At 38.8% G+C, this 22628-nt stretch overlaps 1 protein-coding gene across 2 annotated transcripts in view, besides 1 other annotated feature; it reads right to left on the reverse strand.

Annotated features, from left to right (window-relative positions):
• RERE (arginine-glutamic acid dipeptide repeats) overlaps window positions 1-22628 on the reverse strand; it is a 465237-nt gene that overhangs the window by 259255 nt on the left and 183354 nt on the right. For both annotated transcript variants that reach the window (NM_001042681.2, NM_012102.4), the window contains 2 exons: window positions 12652-12722; window positions 2903-3028 (listed from right to left, as the gene is read on the reverse strand). In NM_001042681.2, coding sequence (NP_001036146.1) covers window positions 2903-3028; window positions 12652-12722 — 197 coding nt within the window. The remainder of the gene's footprint in view (window positions 1-2902; window positions 3029-12651; window positions 12723-22628) is intronic.
• Window positions 18162-18281: an enhancer, noted in NCBI's record as "active region_107". NCBI's record gives its function as "activates an Ori minimal core promoter by ATAC-STARR-seq in GM12878 lymphoblastoid cells {active_cell/tissue: GM12878}" and the evidence as "EXISTENCE:reporter gene assay evidence [ECO:0000049][PMID:35858748]".

Consider the following 22628-nt stretch of genomic DNA (forward strand, 5'->3'; position numbering starts at 1 on the left):
CCTCACTAGTCCTTGATCTTCTAGTGAGGAAGAGGATGGGTGCAGCCAACATGAGTCCTCTGCTGCAGAGCCACACCCTTGACAATGGAGATAAATGTGCACGTATGTCCCCTTGAAAGGTTGCACCTTTCCTGCTTTGGCTAGAGCCTCTGTCATGGTGCCACGTGGTTTCTATGTAAATCAGCTGGCGGGTAGAATCATTTCTGACCAGTTTAGGGAGGTTCTGGGCAATGTTATCTTTGCCTTCCTACCTCCCTCACTACTCCCTCCCCACCACTGAACACAGTACTTTTTACTAGAAAACATCCAAGCTAACAGATTCTCAGTACAAGTAAAAATGTTGCCTCTCCAGCAGATAGAAAAATGAACAGATAAGTTAAAACTTACAAAATTAAATCTGATGTTTATTCCATCATTAGTGTAGAAACACAGATCACATATACCTGAATATGCAAAGAAAGTTAAATTATGATGCAATCAATGCTATCCTATAAAAACTAAATTAACAAAAATAGTCTATTAGGGAAGACATCTGGTGTATCATGGCAAGAAATGTTAATGATATTGTCTGCAACCCTGTAATCAATTTTTTCTCCCAGCAGCTCTCTCATTACACTGTATTAGATCTGTGTGCCTTGCAGGATTTATGAGAACTCCACATATGGGGAAGCTTTGCCAACTGGATCTGATTCAGATCCAGCTCAAATGACTTTGGCAGCACAAAGCATCATTAAAGAACAATCAATACAGTTAGCTTTATGTAGCATCATCTTGACTGAAAGAAGATTTATCCTTTCACTACAGAATCTCTTACACCTACATATAATGTACCCAAGTGCTCCACCAGTCATGAACTTATTTAAATCATCAGTAGACACAAATATTTTTATTGCTAAAAAATAAATACTAATCATTAATTCTAATATAAAAAGTTTACAAAAAAATTAATGTTATTATGGGGAAGACTTAAAATCCATTCAGCAATTCCTGTTGAGTATTACAGTAAATAAAAGTATTAATAATAGCATCCACATTGATTAAGAAAATATCAGCCTGAAAGTAAAACCTACTTTTTAGATATATGTGGAAATAAGACATATCGGTAAATAAGACATATTGGTAATTGCTAAAGGCTGAAGCTTTAGAAGTAGGTAGTCACATTGGGAATCTACTAATTTGTCCCGTAAGATGTCAGTCTTTCTCTGGGAATTAAAATTAGACTTTTATCTATACTACACTGGGTTCTGTCTTCCACTGTAAGACAGAGAATTCCAAGGTTTCCATAATGTGAAACCCCCATCCCTTTTTTTGGTATGACCCTTGAGTAATTACATCAGCAAATATGTAAACGTGTTATGCTGTTGCAACAATTACTCCTGATTTGGTTACAATTATCAATATATCATCTCTACTGTCTTGGTCCTCTTCATCTTACCCATGAATGGCGGCCCTAGCCTTCTACTTGGAATTTTCACCATCTTTCCCCGTTCCACACTGCAAACTGCTACAGTCAATCTTCTTAAGCAGTGGCCTGCAAGATGGCTTGCCTAGAGTAAAAAAGCTTACACAGGCTCTCTACTGCCTATTACACAAAATCTTAACTTTGCTAACTTTGAAGATCCTCTATAATCTAGCCCCATTTATATCTCCACATCTGCCTCCCAAAATCCACTAACCTGTGCTCTTCAGTGACGTCCTGCGGGTCATCTTCTCACAACTCCCAGACTCGTCAGCCTCACTGCCTGCGTTGCTTATAAGGACAGGCTGCCATGTACACCTGGAAGGCTCCTACACTCTGCCTATCCACTTCTTATTGATGTATGAAAAACATACCCAGCTCCTCAAAACCTACCCACCCTCACAGAACTTCCCCAAGTGCCACAGCCCATCTGGAGCACTTTCTTTTCTACGACCCAAGATATTAATATTCTACACTGCAGCTGAACAACTCACCATATATTGACAGTATCTTGCATTGTGTGTGTCTAAGTGTGAGAGAGCTTGCTATCCTCTTGTATTATTTGCTAATTCAGTATGAACTGGGGCACCACAGTCACTTCTTTACACTGACGTCAATGTAACTGCAACTACACTTCTTTCATATTAACCCACTAGTCATTCAGAATAATAAATACTCGACTTTCAGAAAACACTACCATTAAATCCTCCATTAAGTCCTACCATTACAGGAAAAAAAAGGAAGACAAGTGTGAACTTTCCTAAAAAAAGGGAGATGTACTAAACGATAATAACCCCTATGATCACCCACATGGGTCCCTGTGTTTTAAGGGATAAAGCACTACAGATACTTCATCCTGCTGCCTCTTACACATCCCTCAGGACCACCACTAGTAACAGAGGAATAACCAAGGGATAGCCGTTAAGAAGTATAGCTACAGCCCGACCCAAGCCTCTTGAAGGGCATATTCTGCATCTAGCACTGGAGAAAAGCCTCGCTATTTCTGAGCAATACCCTACAAAATGTCACCCGAGAGGACAACACCCAAAATAGTTTAGATTGGTGGGCCATGAGTCCCAATGAGCCTGGGGAAACGCACATTCCACACTTGAGCTCAAACTTACCCCCTTTTTTCCCCATTTCAGTTGCCAACATCCATACTCGCTGCTGATTGCCAGCTCCTGCTCCTTGCAGCAGCCCAGCATGCTCTCTGCTGGTGCCAAAATACCCTTCCACCAAACCCCGCTAACTTCTGGAACTGTCCTAGAGGGGTAAGGCAAGTCCCGTATTTTGCTTCCTCTGTGCATGTACTTGTTACTCCTTTAAAAACACATATAATACAGCACATTTTAAAAGGGGCTCTGGGGAGGGAGGTAATATTCCTATTTTATACCCTATGGGATATAAAATACTGATAGCTTTTAAAAACGGGATTCTCCTTACCCCTACAGGCCCTCTCCCGGCTTCAGAAAGATGCTGTGGTGGCTGTGATGCCACCGGCAGAGAGCATGCTGGGGGGTCACACAAAGCAGGAGTTGGAGATCTGCAACAGGCCTGGGAGTTGTGGACCTAAAAAAGAAAACAGTTTTAAGTTAACGTGCCCAACGCCCCATCATGCCCTGGTTATTAGGGGCACGCAGCACACAAGTCGGTATCTGCAAAAACTCTTTAGCAGATGACCTCTGAAACCTCAGATAATTTGTTCTACCACTAAAGTTAACCTTTTTGCATTAATCAAAGCTGTTACCTTATTTCAGTGTGAACAAACGTATGACCCTTCTGGCTCCACACTTTAATCCAGGTCCTATCATAAAGCAGTATGGTGTGTGCCCCTCAAAATAACCAAGTTAAGATGTGAGATAGTGCCAAAGCACAGTTAACAGCAACATGCTATGCTTATAATAAAAACAGAAATGCAATGGTGTCAGATACAACCGTAAAATGAATCACAAGTGGACAAACTGAGCTTTCAGAAGAGTTTCTAATGACAGAAGCTAGAGACATAAGACATGTACTTAATAAGGAAATAGGGCATTTGGGTGGCCAAAGAAAGGCCCTGCCATTTTCTCAAAGTTCAAGTTTAACTGTATAAAGCTGAAGGCAAAGTAAATAGACAAAGGCCCCAAAACAGAGGGAAAAAGACAATATTCACATGAGTTATAATTTTCTCCAAACGCCCACAAGGTGAGTATAATGAATAGGCACAGAGCATAAAGTTCCAGAAAGACATTACTTATTTTTATAGGCAAAACTAGTTTAGTATGTATCACGTGTCTTTTTAAAATTAACTTTGAAAACATTTAAAAACCAGGAAAAAAAAGACTATAGAGCAACTTCTGAAAGCTAGCACAGTATACCTCAGATAACAGTTTGAGTATGTTCCTTTTCAAATATTTTAGACAGCACATAACATTTTTAAACCAATTTCATGTGGTTTTGAATGAACTAAAAAAAATCCATAAAATCCCAATACTTATATAAGAACCTGTCTTACGGTTGTCTAAAAATTACAGATGAACAACCTTTTAATATTAGATCATTATTAGGGTGTCCTGTTACACATAATTCCCTTTGAAAAGCAAAGAGCAATTAACAACTTTCTGTAAACAAAGATTTTAATATATTTCATTATCTATTTTTGTAAGTCTCTTAAGCTCCCTACACATAGACACACACACACACACACAAAACAAAACAAATACCAGGAAAATAAGCTAATGTTCAGAATGTTTTATCATGATCATTTTCTTTTCTTTTTCTAAAGATGACCATCTAGAGTACATCCTGGGATCTACACTAAAATTTCTGTGCAGTCAGTCTCTGATTCTCATGGCCTCAGTGATAGTATAGCTGACAGAGTGTCAGTAGCCACAACCTTCTCACCACACACCTTCTCCCCACCATCACCAACACTGCAAACTCCAAATTAAAGATTCAATTGTGCACTTGAATGTACAGCATATTCAATATTTTTTGCCAGAAGCATCAAAATAAAAATGGACTTCTGGATAATCTCTTCCACTAGGAATATGACTGCCCAAACCACTCAAATCCTTACATTCAAATTAAGGGTTTTAAATCAAAAACACCTGGTAAAGCATTTCCAGACACTTTGGCATTATTTTAAACATGCAAATAGTTCAAGTAATTATTAAAACATTTTATATATTTTAAAGAGGCATTTTTTCAAAACAAGTCATTGTTCTCACATACGAAATGAGAAAACTTTGACAGTATCTGTTTCCCTAATTTTTTTTTAGTACTTCTAACAGGTTTTTCTTGGACTATTGAGTTGGTTCTTAATGCAAGCATCCATATATACATACAAATTACAAATTTCCAATTGAAAAGAATTAAGTTTGAACAAGACTTTACCAATATTCTTGCACAGTAGATGGCTGCAAATATCAGATTGTCTCAACCTTTCTTAAGCTCCTTTAAAATTAGAATACCTAGAGTTTTCTGCATTGAAAAAAATTTCACATATAGATAACAATTTTAGTAAATAACATTTTCAGAAATATATTTTATGGAAATATATATAATTAAACAAAACTTTTTCAATAGTTTCTTAGAGTCCCTTGACCCAAGTAAATTAGAAGAAAATGAATTACCCAACCTCACAGTAGTAGTTAAACACTAAAACTTAAAATCCCAAGTGCCCAACCCTGACTGGCAGCCACGAGTGAAGACAAATTGCTGGCAAGCTCAGAAAATGGGGCCAGCAAAATGCTGGGATTATTTATTCCCAAGGCCTCATTTTGATTTCCACTTATGTTAATACCACTCTGTCCACTAGAGGTTGACATCAGTATCATGCAAAAAGGATGTGGTCGTTCAAAAAACTTTCAACACCATTACTCCATAATTGTGGCGGGAGGGGAGTATAGATATACAACCTCCTCTGACTCAGTACACCAAACTCAGGGCTAAAGAATTCCATCTTGCTTGATGCGGTGGTTCATGCCTGTAATCCCAACACTTTGGGAGGCCGAGGCGGGCGGATCACAAGGTCAGGAGTTCAAGACCAGCCTGGCCAATGTAGTGAAACCCCGTCTCTACTAAGAATACAAAAACATAGCCGGGGGTGGTGGCAGGTGTCTGTAATTCCAGCTACTTGGGAGGCTGAGGCAGGAGAATCGCTTGAACCCAGAGGCGGAGGCTGGAAAGAGCTGAGATCGTGCCATTGCACTCCAGCCTGGGTGACAAGAGTGAAACTCTGTCTCAAAAAAAAAAAAAAGAATTCCATCCTACCTCTTAACTCTTAAAGAATTAAACAAAATTAGAAATCACAAATTTGTATGTGAAAAGGCCACTTGGTCCTTGGATATAATAGCTGAAAATACTTGATAACGAACTTTAATGTAAAGTTTTTACTTCATTATCCAACACTACACAACAAGTCACAAAGGTGTAACTGGGTGATACTGACCTTTTTATATGGTACAAGCCAAGAAAGTAAAGAGAAGAAGGAGCTATAGAAAGAAATACTCAATTTTGCAGGCCTACCTTGAAGGACTGTCAAAAACAAAAACAGAAACAACTGATGTGTCACACAGGAACAAATCATCATAGCGTAAGGCATTTTTCATAACACATGGCCTTTTCTGGGAGGTTCACACGTATACTAGGCCCTCATTTATCTTTGCTGAAAGTCAGTCATATGGAAAACTCAAAACAATATAATGATGCCTAAAAAATGTTATGACTTTGGCTACATTCATTCAAATTCGTGAAGAAAACAAGAAACTGAATTTTCTTCAAGTATTTTAAAAGAAATAAAGTTTTATTATTTCTATACATTACACACTGCAGGCTAACCAAAGGTAATTGAGTAGACTTCTTTGGCTTGTTTAAGAGAATGTTAATTTGTGTTGATGTATGCACTGTATCAAACAACTACTACTAAAGTTTTTTAAAAATACTTATCCAGTGAATTTATTCCAGTTAAATGTTACTTCATTCAGTATTCAATAAATACTTACTGTGGACATTACAGCCAGCCAATGTGCTAAGCACACAATATATACATCAGTGAATAAAAAGCATAAACCTAAGGTACCAACTAAACATCAACATCACAATCAGTGTCATTCTATGGGGCACTGGACACTTTGTAAGTCTGACCTTTTAATCTAAAAACAATCTACTTGGCAAGGTAGGTACTTTATATCCCAACTTCACAGGTAACTAAAGAAAGTTAAGAGGCTTAAGTGTATTTCCTAAGGTCAGGAAAGATGGCAACTGATGGATGGAGTATGTGAACTCAGACAACCTGATGTCAAAGTCCGCGCTCTGAACCTGGGCAATCTACCATCCCTCATCTCAATCCCAGAATAACAGATCCTAAATTCTGAATTAGCCATGTTCAAATTATGTGCACCTTCCTGCCCACCCCCCAACCAAAAAAGGGCTCTAATGCAAGATTTACCTCCTTTTAAACGAATGCCCATTCCGTGAATGTCCATACACTACACCTTCTGTGCTAAGTGGTAACAGCCAAGCTGGGACTAAAGAAATGCAGTCGATAATGCGTAAGTCTGATAATTAAGTCACTGTGTGTACACTTGAATGTGTGCACAAAGAGTATGTGTAATTAAGTCGCTACCTGATGATATCTCCCAGCATCATCTATGGTCCTAATAAGACATAATTACTCATCCTCAGTAAGTTTTTATTACAAAGGAGGAGAAATAGCTTCTTGTTACTTTTAATCCATTTTTAAGAAAATAAATTTGGTGGAGGGCGGGCAATCTCAATGGCAAGTGGAACCTAAGATGAAGTTAATTTCTCTGCAGCCCTTCTGCTGTTGTACTGTCAGGGAAGGCATGAATAAAGGGTAGTGAGTAGCAAACAACTTATGAGTACAGACCAGGCATAAGAGAGAAATTCCAAGTGTTTTTCCTCCAACTGCTCACATTTGACAATGAAACAACGAGAGGGATATGGTATTAAACGATAAATAACTTGGCCCCCACATTCACAGCAATAATGGAAATGTGCATTCTCCAAGGTAACTAGTAGTATGCATCCTTAGCTATTCCACATTCAGAACCAGCATTTAGAAAGTAGGCTGTTAGGGACACAAATGATACAGCGGCATTCTCATCTATGTGGAGCCGTAACAATATGTCGAGCCCAGCTAACCATCACCTGAGACACTTTAACATCCCTAACTATCACCCCCAACTCTAAGGAATCTCTGTATCTGGCTTAACTTTAAGGACAATTTTCCAAGTTTTAATAAAACAGTTAAGGAACCAAAATGAATCAATATCATTAACCCAAAATAGTACTTATAGCTACATATACTACCTAGAAACTCATTTGGTATAAGTAACAGCTGAAACACCTATGTAACTTTAGGAAACCAAAAGCATGTTTTCCTCTACTGTATGAATGACAGCAATGCAAGAATCCACACTGAATTTCCATGGAGACTATTACAGGACTGAGTTTGCTTACTTATCTGTGAATAAAGAAAGGTAGTAACTGCTACAAGGAACTACTTACTATACAAGGAACTCCTCAGTGCTATACTGAATGAAAATTAGTGTCTCCATGACCTTGTTAGCATTCTCGGACTCCATGATTACTTCCAGATGGCAAATTATTTGTATTATACTTCTTAATGCCTGGGTTTCTATAAAAATATGATTTTATTGTTTTTCGTAAACAAACAAATCATTTCTTTTAGAACTAAAGTGAATGCCCTTCTTGTCAATCCTATTCAGAATGTTCTCCAAAGAAGACTGACATCCAATAATGCCACAAGTTGTCTGTCCACTTAGAATCTAAGATCACTGAGGGAATGAACAATATTTTATACTTCTTCAGTCTCCCTTTAGGTGCTGAGTTCCATAAAGAACACAAAGCAGGTATTCAGTAAATGCCTGTGGAAGTCCCTGATTATAGCTCAAAACATTTCTATTTGCACTCTGTGATATAATGCTCCTCAATGATATTGACTCATTCAGAACAAAACCCTAAAAGTAAGTAAGTCACATGGTGACCTATAAAAGCTATGGGAGGGCAGCAGAAGGGTTGGAGATATTAATCTAGGCTCTTTCCATTGCAATTCATGAAGAGCCACTCAAGCTAGCCAGGTGAGAGCTCTTTACTCAGAGCGAACAGGATAATCTAAGAATCCTGTGGGAAGAACATCAGTGCAGTGGGACCCAGGAGAGTCAAGGAAGAGACGGCTGTGCACACACTTCCCTTGGCAGTCTGCTGCTCTTCCCACAGCTTGCCTGTCCTCTGCTTTTCCCAGTTTCCTACCCTAGCAAGTGAGCTTGCCTATGCCAGCCCTAACCTTGCTCTTGTCATTCAGGTAATTCTTTTATTTTTAATTTTTACAGATATATTAGGGGTAATTCTTGAATTATCTATTCACCTTTCCCCTCTACTAACTGCCTCAGTCTCTCAGTTTCTCAACTCTAAATTCTAAAAATGAAATTTGGCTCAATTAATCTTTTCATGCCAGGCCACAAGGATCACAGACTGTCATTCCGTATTACTAGTCCTTCAAAAAGCTAAATAAAGACTTTGCCAGCTATTTTACTATTTAGTTCAGAAATCTACAGTGCGAAGCGACCTTTTTAATCAACAATACTTCTTTCTCCTGCTTCTAAGTACGTGCTGTCCCTAATTCTACCCTGCCTCTTCTGCTTGCCTGAGCTCCTGCTTTTGACTACTTCTTCCATAAATACTTTGGTCAGCGCATTCAAACAAAATCAGACCTCTCCATTTGTAAATAAGCCCAATCAAATGAATACTTCCTAAGAGAATGAAAGCTTCCTAATAGAATACATAATTCCTACCTTTAAAACCTCAGCTCAGTTAGGAACTTAATTGCTTGATACTATCATAGCCTCCACCTACCCTGTGGAAGTGTGGGCTCGAAATACACCTACCAGTGTAGGACGGTGGTGTCCCTATGTGTTTTGATGGTTGAATATTAATAAAGCAGAAGCCATGGATCTTATCCCCATAGGCAAGATAACCACACAACCTATCATCCACACTCAAGACATTTTTGAGAGTGAAAGGGGAGGCTGTTTAATAGTCTGGCAGGACAACAGACAGGGATCAGGACATAGAGGCAGCTGTGTTCTATACCACAGACTCGATTCTAAGGGAATGCAGCAGCAGAGTAGAGAAGACAACCCAGGTCCCCACATAAAATACAAAGACCCTTCTCCTTATCTCATAAAGAGCTATTTCATGAAATGTGACCCAAGGCCCTTGGTTCAATAAACTGCCATTATTCTAGCCTCGGTGACTGGCGGTAGATGTCTCCTCCTCCCCACGCCTCACCTCATTAGCTTTTGTTATCTTTAACATCGTAATCGTACCTACTAATGTGTATCATAACGGGCATTCACCCAGTTACTTTTACAGTGCCCAAACATCCTTTATACACAAAATTTCACCACGGCAAAGGGATTCTCATTTATAGTATAAACAATGAAACACATCTCTCAGTTATAACCCCAAACCAACTTTTTATTTTATGATTATTAAAAAGATAAAATACCTAATTACTCAACATTTCAAAGCCATCGGGTTTTTGTTTCTTTCATTGCTCCACTAGTCATGTTATTTGCTGGGAGCAAAATCAAATTCAATTTCTTCTTCTTCTTAAAATCTTGCAGAGAAACAAAGCTTATTTCCTTCTGCTCATCTTTTACCCTTATAGCTTCAGTAAACTGAAGGAGAAAAAAATCTTGATCATTCTCATCTGATTATCTTTTAATAAGTACAGAGAAGTAAGAAAATAAGAAAGTGGAAATAACTATATTTATTCCCAGAGCAAATATTTCATCATCTGTTGTTCTTACACAACAACTATGAGGATGTGCTGAATACAGAACCTCAAACAAAAACATGAGAAACAGCAGTGTGTGATTTAGAAAAAGGTATCTAAACATACTGCACCCTACTTCCCACACTGTTTTTGTAGACAGCTTTAATGTGTTGTATTAGACCAATACTGACAACAGAAGCTTTAGCTTTTATTGCTGTTAATACCCTGAGCAATTACCGTAACTCAGCAGGAACCTCTGCCCAGAACAGCAACTATCACATTGTAATCAGCATTTCATAAGAGATGCTGTTCAAACAGGAAGGCACCTGCTAATGTGCAAAAACTGTACAAAGGGGGCTCAAGATCTAATAGGTAAAATAAAAATATTTACAATTTTATTTCACAGCTATATATTTTTCACGGTGCACTGATGTTTGGTTTAGTAAAAATCACACAAAAAGACAATGGGCAGGAAAAGGGCAGTAGCAGCAGCCACTACCAAAACAAAACTCTTCAGGAATAAGGCTACACCCGTATTTCAGGTGTCAGTGCTGTATCTGTTTAAAAAAAAAAAAAAAAAAAAAAAAACACACTTTGGAAGGAAAGATATAATAAGTAGCAAAGACCTCTAAAAATGGTTTTTAAAAATTCATATAGACATAAAAACTGGATAGAAAGCATTTGATTTACAAGATTAAACTGCAAGGCCACCTTGCAATGCAACCAGGAAAGTTAAAAGCCGCTTATCAAGAATAGATCCATCTTAGAAGTAAATAGCACATTTGACTTCATCTTAAAACAGTAAGCATGCAATAACTTAAGCAATAACTTTTTAACAAAGAAAAATAAAATGTGATTTTTTTTTTTTCTTACTGAATATACTACTTTGGTACTTGGGCCATTAAAAATGATAAAAAACAAAGGAGATGCAGAGAAAGATCTTTTCAAACTACATTTCTTTAGACTGAAATATCACATACAACATATGTCAGAACACAAATATTGTCAAATTACAAAGGGTGTTGGAAATAAGAGCATTCACAGATAGTGATACACATCTCTACAAAGCTAAGGAATTACGAATTCTCTAGGCCTAAGAGCACAGACAGTGGTTCACAATCTTCAAAGTACTAGGATCCCTTGTAAGATCAAAATGTTTCAAAAGATTCCCAAATGATACTACTTCAGTAGTATTTCAAATACCAATTGTTTGAGGAAAATAACAAACAAACAGTGGTTCCCGGCTGGCATGGTAGCTCACGTTTGTAATCCCAGCACTTTGGGAGGCCAAAGCAGGCAAATCACTTGAGGTCAGAAGTTGGAGACCAGCCTGGCCAACATGGTGAAACCCTGTTCTCTGCTAAAAATACAAAAAAAATCAGCCGGTTGTACTGGCACGCACCTGTAATCCCAGCTACTCGGGAGGCTGAGGCAGGAGAATCACTTGTTTCCGGGAGGCAGAGGCTGCGGTGAGCCAAGACTGCACCACTGCACTCCAGCCTGGGTGACAGAGCAAGACTCTGTTTCAAACAACAACAATGACAAATAGTGGTTCTTAACTGTGTATTGCTTTTAAATAAGTGAAATTTTTAAAAATCATAAAAGCATACTGAAAACAGGCTGAAAAATCGTTGTCCAGACGTGTGAGATCAATTTATTTACATCAAGCTTAGCATGTTTATTTGCAGACCTCTGCCAAATCTCTGCAGACATCCAGGGATCCAAAGCCTAAAGTGTGAGAACCACTGGCCCTAAAAAAGCGATTTCATAATGAGGAACATCAACACTTATATATTCAGGAAGAATTTTTAATGAGAAAGTACAGTAGCTATGTCCTTACTTCTGCAACACATGCACTAAAACTGGAAAGAAAGTATAACAACTTTACCACGCCCAAGCCAGACTTCTTTCAACCGCTACCCCGGGAAACCCCCACAACAATTTCAACATCATATACTCCACACCTGCCGAAATATTGAAGGAAGTGACAGGTTTCCACTGGAAACTATTCTCTGACCCGTTTATATTATTTCCCCTACTCATCAATTTACTGAATTTACTTTACTTCAGGCTCTTAACAATGGCTGAGAAGAAACAAGCTACTTCAGAAATTCAAGGGACTATCTGAAATTGTCAAAAGTTACTAAAGGGATAAAAACTTCAGAAATATTGTTTACAATATAAGCATTATGAGAGTAAGTGTTACAAAGCTGAAAAGATGGAACTAGTAACCCTCATTTCAGTGCTACTGCCACGAGGCAGTTAGCACTCAAAAGGTGAACTGGTAACCACGTCAACAGCGATGGAGGAACAATAAGAGATAGCCAATGGAACTGGAAAAAGAGAGAATACAGAGCAGAGTGAACAGCACATTAAAAACGCTTACCAGTTTGAAGTCTTGAATGCTACAGATGAAATACGGTGTGTTTGGCCTCCGACTCTCGATATACACACAGTCTTTAAAAGAAAAAGAAATTTTAAAACAATGGCATTTACCTTTAAGGAACAAAGACAGGGCCCATAAAGCCACTGCATAAATAAATAAATGACAAAGCACATATCTTTTATTGTAAATTTTTTCCAAAAGATGATATTAAATTGCAAATATCTTTAGGCTAAAGGAAAACTGCCCTTTGGTTCTTTCTGATTATTTTTCTAATAATTTAAAGAATCTGATGAAGCCTAAATTATTTTCTTCAGAGTCCCTGAAGAAGAAGGGGAGGAGTCCAAGGGATTATCCATATTCAGATGAAGACATTTAGATAAAAGAAACCGCTTGCTCAAGATCACACATCAAGATGAAATCTTGAGTATCTTATTCAGATACATGTTCACATGTCTTCGAAAAAGAGAAACGGCTTTGCCACGTGCTACTATATTTGTAATAAATATTTTGTGAGGAAATAAATGAAATACGCAAAGATGACTAGCTTGAACATGCTATTACAATGACCTTTTCAACTAATCAAAAAGAGAAAGAAAACTAATCTCTTACAGACAATTTGCCATTACATTGTACCCTAAACACATTTTATTTTCTAACTGTAAACAAAAACAATGCCACTAATCAGAGATGGAATAAAGTAAACCAAATTGCATTTTCTTCAGGGAAGAAGGGTGCTTTCTTAAATTACATTTGACATGGCAGTGGTTGGAAAATAATTTTTGATGCTCTCAATGACTGGAGTGTAAAGCGTTGCTTTTGTTTGTTTGTTTGTTTGTTTTGTTTTGTTTTGTTTTGGCTGGTCTCCTCTCCAACTCCTGGGCTCAAGCAATCCTCCCACCTCAGCCACCCGAAGTGTCAGGATTACAGGCATGAGCCACCACGCTTGGCCAAGGTTGCTTTTTAAAATGCCATGTTAAGACACTTAAATAAAAAGCAATGATTTTAAGGAAAGCAGTGGCTATAGAGAGAGTTAACCTCCTCCTACCCCCATATCACAACCTAAGATCATCATAAAGCTTAGGTCAGGAAAGTCTACGTATTATTTACTGAAAAGTAAAGGCACAGTCAATGAAATCTAGGAATAGTGACCACAATGCCTCATTCATTCATTCATTTTGCATAGACAGGGCCTCACTATGTTGCCCAGGCTAGTCTCAAACTCTTGGGCTGAAGCTATCCCCCTGCCTCGGCCTCCCAAAGTGCTGTGATTACATGCATAAACCACCATGGCCAGCCCATAATGCCATTCATTTTATACTTCCTCTGGACCCTTCAGAATGAGTGTATCTTACAATAATTCAGATGCTTGACAACACTGGCAACTTCCTCTATTGTCTCATTTGTCTTATGTGTTGAGAGCGAAGAAAAAGCACAGAAGTAGCAATTGGGAGTCATCACAAACCCCAACAGACCAACTAAGATGATCAGGAAGAAAGTCCTCACAAATGAGTACATTCCAAGAAACTTTCTGCAGAACATCAGGATCTTTGTACCTACCCAAAAGGCACTCTAGAAAAAGAAGAAATCTCAATGCCAACTATTTAGGCATTCAGAATTCCCCAACTGATTTCTCTACTCAAAGATGGACTCAACAGAGATTTAATCCCTGAATCCACGTAAAACAGTAGCTCAGGAATGAACTGTTGACTAAGCTTTCCCTATCTTGTTCCAAGGTCCCAGATGCTAAATAACTGTGCTTCAGCATTCAGGCAACATCAACTTAACATGCTAATCATCTTAAGGGACAAGCAAGAGAATTCTTCCCACCACAGTAGATCATTCTTTCATACTCCTACCTTGGTATTCAAGTAAAAACAGAAGAAACTCAATTCCCTAGATAAAAACTGTAGCTCCAAATTACACAATTTTGGAACAACCCAAAGTTCTTAGTTTCCTGTGTTTCAGTCCCTGTTATACCCACTGCCAGCATTTCAGATCTCTAGTTATCAATTATTTACTCACCTTACTCAACTCAACATGCCCTCTCCTTTCTGTTGCTTCCTACATACCACATTTCATGACATTAACACCATCATAGCCTAGCTACTGACAGAGCAGGAGCATCACCATCTTGGACAAGCACCACCATTTTCAAGTTCCCCTTGATCAAAAACTGCCTAAATCCAACCCAAAGGGCATCAGCCTAATGGCTAATGACATCATGACCATAAACCACAAATGACATCTCCAACCACAAACATTCCAATCCTAAGATAAACCCCTCTCTGACCACAGACATGCCAGCCCAGAGATAACGTCCCCTCTGGCTGGAGAGATGTCAGCCCCAAAACATTCCAACCCCACAATAAACTTCTCCTCCACACAGAAACATTCCAAGCCTGTGATAAGCTCTCCTGCCCTAAATCCTTAAGTAATACTCTTGGTCTGTAATAGACAGTGCTCCTGACCAAAATCAGCCAGAAGCCCCTCTCCGGTTTATTCTCCAAAATGAGCCTGTCTTTGACTGTTAAGCCACTTTTCGCATTTCTTTCCTCATTCTTTAACTCTTACAGCTACTACTCACTGGCTTCAGAACTAATAGGTCCCTTTCTAATTAATTGCTTCTACCTTCTTAAGGCTCAAGTGACAAACTTACTGCATTCAATGGTCTGGTCTCACTCCACACCCCATCTTCCCCTAGGCTGCATTCACTACAAGAAACCCCAACTCTGCTCCCAGTCTGCAAAACTCTTCTTCTCTCCTTCTACTAGCCCCTGATCACACCAACCTTAGAATTAGTTATCAGTTCCATATGGAGTAACTCCTCATGGCTCCTCTGTAACTAAATGGCAACACCTCCCTTCTTTTACATAACATTAACAATTTACATTCCTTGTCAAGTTATTTGGCAGTAAGGTGGTCTGCACTGTCCACTAACAATTACTATCAATCTTGTAGGCTCAGAGAAATGTACTCAATTCTACCTTCCCCGTACTCACCAAGGACTAATGTCTGCCATTAGTGTGGGGGTTAAAAAAAATAAAAAATAAAAAATAAGGCCAAGTCAGGTGGATCACCTGAGGTCAGTTCAAGACCAGCCTGACCAACATGGTGAAACCCCAACTACACTAAAAATACAAAAATTAGCTGGGTGTGGTGGCACACACCTGTAATCCCAGCTACTCAGGACTTAGAGGCAGGAGGATTGCTTGAACCCAGGAGGCGGAGATAGCAGTGAGCCGAGATCACGCCACTGCACTCCAGCCTGGGTGACAGTGAAACTGTCTCAAAAAAAAAAAAAAACCTGAAATAAATGGGAGACACTTGGAAAGCAAAGACTACGCATGTTTTTCTTTTTACACAAAGAAAAGCTTTATTTATATATACTTTAAATAATCCATAGGATCATTACTACACACCATCTTACTGTGAGATATAAAGCTAACTTACATACAAAAAAGCTTTCCAGAAAAAGGAAAAAGAACCTATGTTCTTTCATTTCCCGCTGCAAAGTTACATTCAAGAAAAGTGCCTGTAAATACACTAGGATATAGCTCTGTTAGAGAAGGAAGGAAAGGAACATGCCGGTATGTCAAGAGCAGCCAAGCACATCTGTTTGCCTAAACACTTCTCAGCAGTTGTACTGGAGCTGCCTCACACACCTGGCCTGAGAAATGCTGCCATGAGGGATAAGCATGAGAGAGATCCTCAACCGGACATACGGAATGACCACTGTTACTTTTCCTTAGATTAAAAGCCACCTCTTTTTGTTTAAAAAACGACCATGGCAACTCAAACTGATCCAAAGCTATGAATTCATATCAGACAGTCCAATACACAAGGTTAATAATCTGTAAAATGGGTGAGTGCATCAAGTGAGCTCTATCAGTACTTTGAAACACATATATGAAAAAGTTAGAGAAGCTCACTGCAAAATTAAGTGACAAAACTTACAGTTTTGTAAGCCACTGGAGGGTGGCTGTTAAAAAAAAAAACTTTACATACATAGTCATGAAACACAGAATGGCTAAGACTGGAGTAATAAGAACTAAAAATGTTTCACACTATGTAAAACTTGCCATAGGAATGGGGAAAAAAATACACTGCTTTGACCTGATTTGTCTAATTCATTTTTAAAATCAAAGCATGACGAACTATTGTACAGTCAAACTTTTCTTTATAACCCTCTGACAAATATTAGGATGACCCAACAAAAAATAAACACAATTTAGAATTCAAGTCTCACAGAAAAAAATTCTACTTTATATTACTCTTAAAAATATTCAAAACAAGGTTCAATTAAAGCCAAATTCTCATATAAAAAGCATTTCCCCTTGGCTCATTAATCAAGCAGCTATTTAAGAAAATAATTTATATAAATGTTTATAGCACAAAAATAAAGTGCTTTATTTGAAAAGGGAAAGATAAGAACGTAGTCAAGAGCAATGTTAAAATCTCAGTTGGAATATATGCCCAGTAATCTTTTAAAGCCAAAATGATTTGGCAAGATTTTCATGCAATTTATGAGTGCATGGGATGTCTGAAGCTGGTTATAAAATTGGTTTTAGTCAGTAGGATCAATGATTCTCAATCTGAAAATCTCCCACGGCCCCCAAGCACTGCATATACTTCTTTTTTTATTAGAAAGCTAGCAGTTCTGAAAGAACTGCACAAAGCTGATGTGATCCACCAAATGCATAATGCACATCTTCAGAATCACCCATGTAAAAACACGTATTTACCAGAATTGAGCAAACGGTTTTGGCAGGGCAAGTATATATATTTTTTAAATCTTCAAATCAGCATGCCTGTAATGGGCCAGAAAAATGAGTGAGGCTATTACCATCAATATCAATTAGTCCAAACAACACATGATAACTAATGTGTCTTTACTAGGGATGTCTAGAAATGAAACCATGGGTCTAGGTTGAGACCTACTCTCTTAACACCTAACCTCTGTCTGGGAATGGATCACAGGATTAAGTGACCTCAAATCCTTGTGAACAGGGAGCAACAAAATCCGTAATTTGGGCAATGATACTGAACAGAGGTATTTCTGGCTGTTTCTCACAACCTCAGCATAGCTTCATGTCCAAAGATCTATTGTGCCATCTGTAAACAACAGAGCATTTGCTAAGCTGGGGAAGGAAGTCAGCCAAAACGTGAAGGCAGATTCTCAAGGCAAAGAAGGCCCTCTCTGCTTTTTCAACCCTCAGCAAATCAGCAGGTTTATGTAAATATAGCAAAAGCACAGTCCCCTCAAGGGTAAAAATCTCAGTCTGAAGCATTAGGCAGTGTGTCATTATGAAACACAAAGAACCTGTCAGCATCTTTTCTGACAGCCTCCTACAGAGCAGAGTGGACACTTACCTCACCCACTAATTTAGCAAGCAGTGCCACACACGCCAGTACTAAAACTGTGGTCACAACATATATAGGCAATGCTCAGCCACTGCTCCACCTCATAAAGAATTTTCCTTTCCATCAATGTGTCTCCGCCTATTAATCTTTGAAATACCTTCTCATCCCTTTGCAAAGCATGGCAGTGCCACTCTGATATAATTTCCAATAGAAAACCCCATTGTAAAAAGCACGCATGAACAAAGACTTTCTCACAAAGAGATTTCTCAGAGACCAAGCTGGGTGGCACAGCGGTGAAATGGGAAGTTGACTCTCAGGACTGCACCGCTCTTCTGCTTTCTGTTTCTCCTCTACATGACTCCTCCACCCTCAATGCTTGGAGGTAACAGTCAATGAGGTACAGTATGTTGGTCTAATATTGCAGAATAAAAAATCCACAAGTATCTCTCTACAGTTAAAACAGATGTCCTCCATTTTCCAAGACACACAAAGAGTGTATATGTTATGTGTGTGTGCATGCTGGAAACAACGCTGAAATCCCGGTACCCAAATTCCAATCCAGAGTCTCTGGCATACTGCATGTCCTCCAACAAACCCTCCCAGTTCTAGTCTCCCAAACCATAAAACAGCCAAACCCATCACCATTCCTCAACTCTATAAACAATGCACTGTTCTTCATAGTAAACACTCAAAAATTATATGAGGAACAAACAAACTAAACAGAGACATGGTTTAAAAAAAAAAGAAGAGAGAGATCCTAGCAAGAAAGTTGCTACGCTCTATCAATATGAACAAAACAAATGCTGTATTCTAATACTTCTTTAGGAAATAACTCGATTGCCAGGTAACCTACTTTAGTTTCCTGCCAGAATCTTTTGCTGTGAGGGGTACTCATATTGACTGTAACACTGGAGAATTTAAAAGGGAAAAGGACTGCTGCTCAGGAAGCTCAGGTGACAGCATCACTGGAGCCCTGGAGTTCAAAGCTGCAGTGAGCTATGATCCAGCCACTGTACTCCAATCTAGGTGACAGAGTGAGACCCTGTCACTCAGTCATACATACATACGTACATATATACACACATACATACATGGAAAAGGAAACAAAAATTGGGAAAAGTGCACCTCCATAAATGAAGCCTTCCCAGTCCTTACCCTTACTCTGTTTATCAACTGTTATCAAAATCAGCTGCATCATCTTAAGGATTCTAAACTTGGTGGGAAAAGATCCCAGATAACATATATCTTTGTTCCCCTCTTTTTTAAACATAATAATTACATTCCATGTATTGAAATGTCTATAGATTCCCAAGTAGTGCTACAAAGAAAGCCTCACTAAACACAGAACACTAAATATTTCTAGCAAACATTCATCTGTCTTTATCCTCATTGCTAACAAGGACAGTTAAATAATGAGAACAAACAAGTTGAGGGGAACAGGTCATAATAAACTAAAAGGGATTTTGTTGAAAATTCCTACATTTCTCTTTTCTCCTTTAAAAGTCAGGAAATCTCCCAATGTATTGAAAACTTAAAAACTGATCTCAGATAATTATCTTCCCAACTTTAAAAAATAATGCTGGGCCAGGCATGGTGGCACATGCCTGTAATTCCAGCACTTTGGGAGGCCGAGGCAGAGGACTGCCTGTGCCCTGGAGTTTGAGGTTACAATGAGCTATGACTGTACCACCACTACACTCCAGCCTGGGTGACAGCATGAAACCTTGTCTCTTAAAAAAATAAAAAATAACAGTGATGTGGATGTTTTGGACTAACTGCTGCAGCATGAAGCATGACCCCCGCTTCCCAAATCAATCATATGCTATACAAACTTGCGAACTCTGTGGAACAAGAAAAAGCAAAATTATCCTGCCAGTAGCAGAAATCTTATTAGTTATACTGATATGCTAAATATTAGCCATGGTTGGACACTTATATTACCCAAGCAAAGAACACTGTAAGCACTCTCATCTCCTTATTTTACTCTGAAAACGTTCCTTAAATAGCACCCCTTGTCAGCTGTGTTGGTTGAGTCCCTATCATGAAAGTGAGTTTAGCCAATGTAACATCCAAGTTCCAGTTAACTGATGTGGATCTCTATACTAGTATAAAACTTGTGTTCATATACAGCTTATGTGCTGTAAGAGAATAAAAGTAATCCAAGGGGGGAAATCTATTTTAAAATTCAGTGACAGCCATCTACCTATTGAAGTAGTGCTTGTGGCACCACAGACACAAAGGAAGAGAACTTCCAGGCTTCACTCACTCTTTCTGTCCCCTTGATACTTCAGAGTATCTAATTTCCTAAAGCTTAAAAATGCAGGTGACAATTCTATCCTCAATTTAACGACTCATCCCCTCCCCCAAAAAAACTATGCTCTGAACCCTATTAAGTAGAGGATGATTACTAATGGAAATGCTGACAGATCCTTAACTTAATGATGAGAACTGATATATGGCTGAAATAATGTACATTCAAGAAATCAATGCAAAGAGTCCAAACACTTCTAGAACATTGTGCCCAGTATTTATAGGAAAACATCATCAGTGACAGGTAGGCTGGGTGAAAATTCTTCTCTCCCCGTATGGCTGACAACAAACAAATTGCTCGTCTGATCTTCTGGTGTCACATCCTGCAGCGCAGATTTCAAGCAACACTGCTTGCTCCTTTTCAGAAAACAATGCACTAGGAGCCTGGGCTTTACAATAAATGATTCAACCAATTTACAGGGCTCACTGGAAATACACAGGACAATTCACAATGCGTGTGTTATAATTCTTATTTGGCAAATGATTTTATTATAAACTAGTAATCCATTTTCTTTACAGGTTTTCTGCTACTGTTTAATAGACTGTCAGTATAATTTAGATTTCATCTATTTAAACTCATTCAAGCCTGGCTCCTGATTGTACAGTAAATGGAACATATTTCTATTCAAAGAAATTAATGACAGTTAACTGTAGTCTGCAGTTCTCAGTTTTGTAAATGCAACTGTTCCACAGTCCAAGCATCAAGCTACAAAATTTCCCACACCAATTATTTTCCTGTACTTCACAGGCATCTTCTATTTCTTGGAAGCCTTCCTTGTTAAGACTAATGTACATATTCATTTAATATTCTTTCCCATTCAAATATTTACCTCCAACTTTCTAGAAAGTTAGGACTTAAATACAACCAAAATGTCAGAAAATAAAAGTTTAATTGCCATTCTGGAAAGATGTTCTACTAATACGGATTTTTTTAAGTTAGCAAAATTCAAGATTAAAAGACATTTTTAAAAACATACTCTTGGATGATTTTCTTATATATTTCAAATCAGTTACAATGTCAACATTAAGTGAAATTTATTAAAAGTAGGCTAAATATCCTATATGGATTTAAATATACAAACAAGGCACATGGCATATATTAATATATACTGAATTGCTTCTGAGATTGATATTCTGTTTAAGAGAAATTTACTTATGGCCAAGCTTAGTGGCTCACACTTATAATCCCAACACATTGGGAGGTGGAGGCAGGAGGATCACTTCAGGTCAGAAGTTCGAGACCAGCCTGAGCAACATAGCAAGACTCCATCTCTACAAAAAAAATTTTTTTAAATAGCTGGGCACGGTGGCAGGCACCTGCAGTCCCAGCTGCTTAGGAGGTTGAGGTGGGAGGATCACTTAAGCCCAGGAGGTTGAGGCTGCAGTGAGCTATAATAGCACCACTGCGTGCCAGCCTGGGGAACAAAGCAAGATCCTGTCTCTTAAACACGCACGTGCGCACGCACACACACAGACACACACACACACACACACACAAAAATGTACTTCTGAGTGTTAGTTACTAGAAATCACAACAATCCCGTGAGTGATTTTTCTTCTTGAGTGATTACTCTTTCATGGAAGAGGAAACATCCACACAGCTGTGTAAGACATGCTTAAAGCAGAAAAAAGCATGCAAAGATGCACCTTAAAAGAAACTTATTGGCTGCGCACGGTGGCTCAGGCCTGTAATCCCAGCACTTTGGGAAGCCGAGGCAGGTGGATCGTGTGAGCCCAGGAGTTCGAGACCAACCTGGGCAACGTGGCAAAACTCTGTCTCTACAAAAAGAAAAAAAAAATTACCCAGGTGTGATGGCGTGCACCTGTGGTCCCAGCTACTGAGGAGGCTGAGGTGGGAGGATTGCTTGACCACAGGAGGCAGAAGCTACAGTGAACAGAGATGGTGCCACTGCACTCCAGCCTGAGCAACAGAGTGAGACTCTGTCAAAGAAAGAAAAGAGGAAGAGAAATGAACTTATCAAATCAACACCCAAACAGTAATAAGGTAAGGACCCAGAATTTGCTGCCCCAAACTATAACCACCAGGGTCACACAATGACAGATGAGAAGTAAAGGAAAAACAGAGACACCCTTTTCATTCAGCAAGCAAAGTCTGCTCACCTGGCTTTGTTTCTCCTCTCCTATAGACACATTCAATCAAGACCAAGCCATGCCCATCCTCACGCTGCTGCTACTACAACCGCTCTTCCCAACCAGGTCCTATCACAATCCTGCTCAACCTTCAGGACCCAAATGCCACCAACTTACAACCTGTTCTATTCAGTTATCTGCCCACTCAATGCCTA

Source organism: Homo sapiens, chromosome 1 (assembly GCF_000001405.40).
Source record: "Homo sapiens chromosome 1, GRCh38.p14 Primary Assembly".
Lineage (NCBI taxonomy): Eukaryota > Metazoa > Chordata > Mammalia > Primates > Hominidae > Homo > Homo sapiens.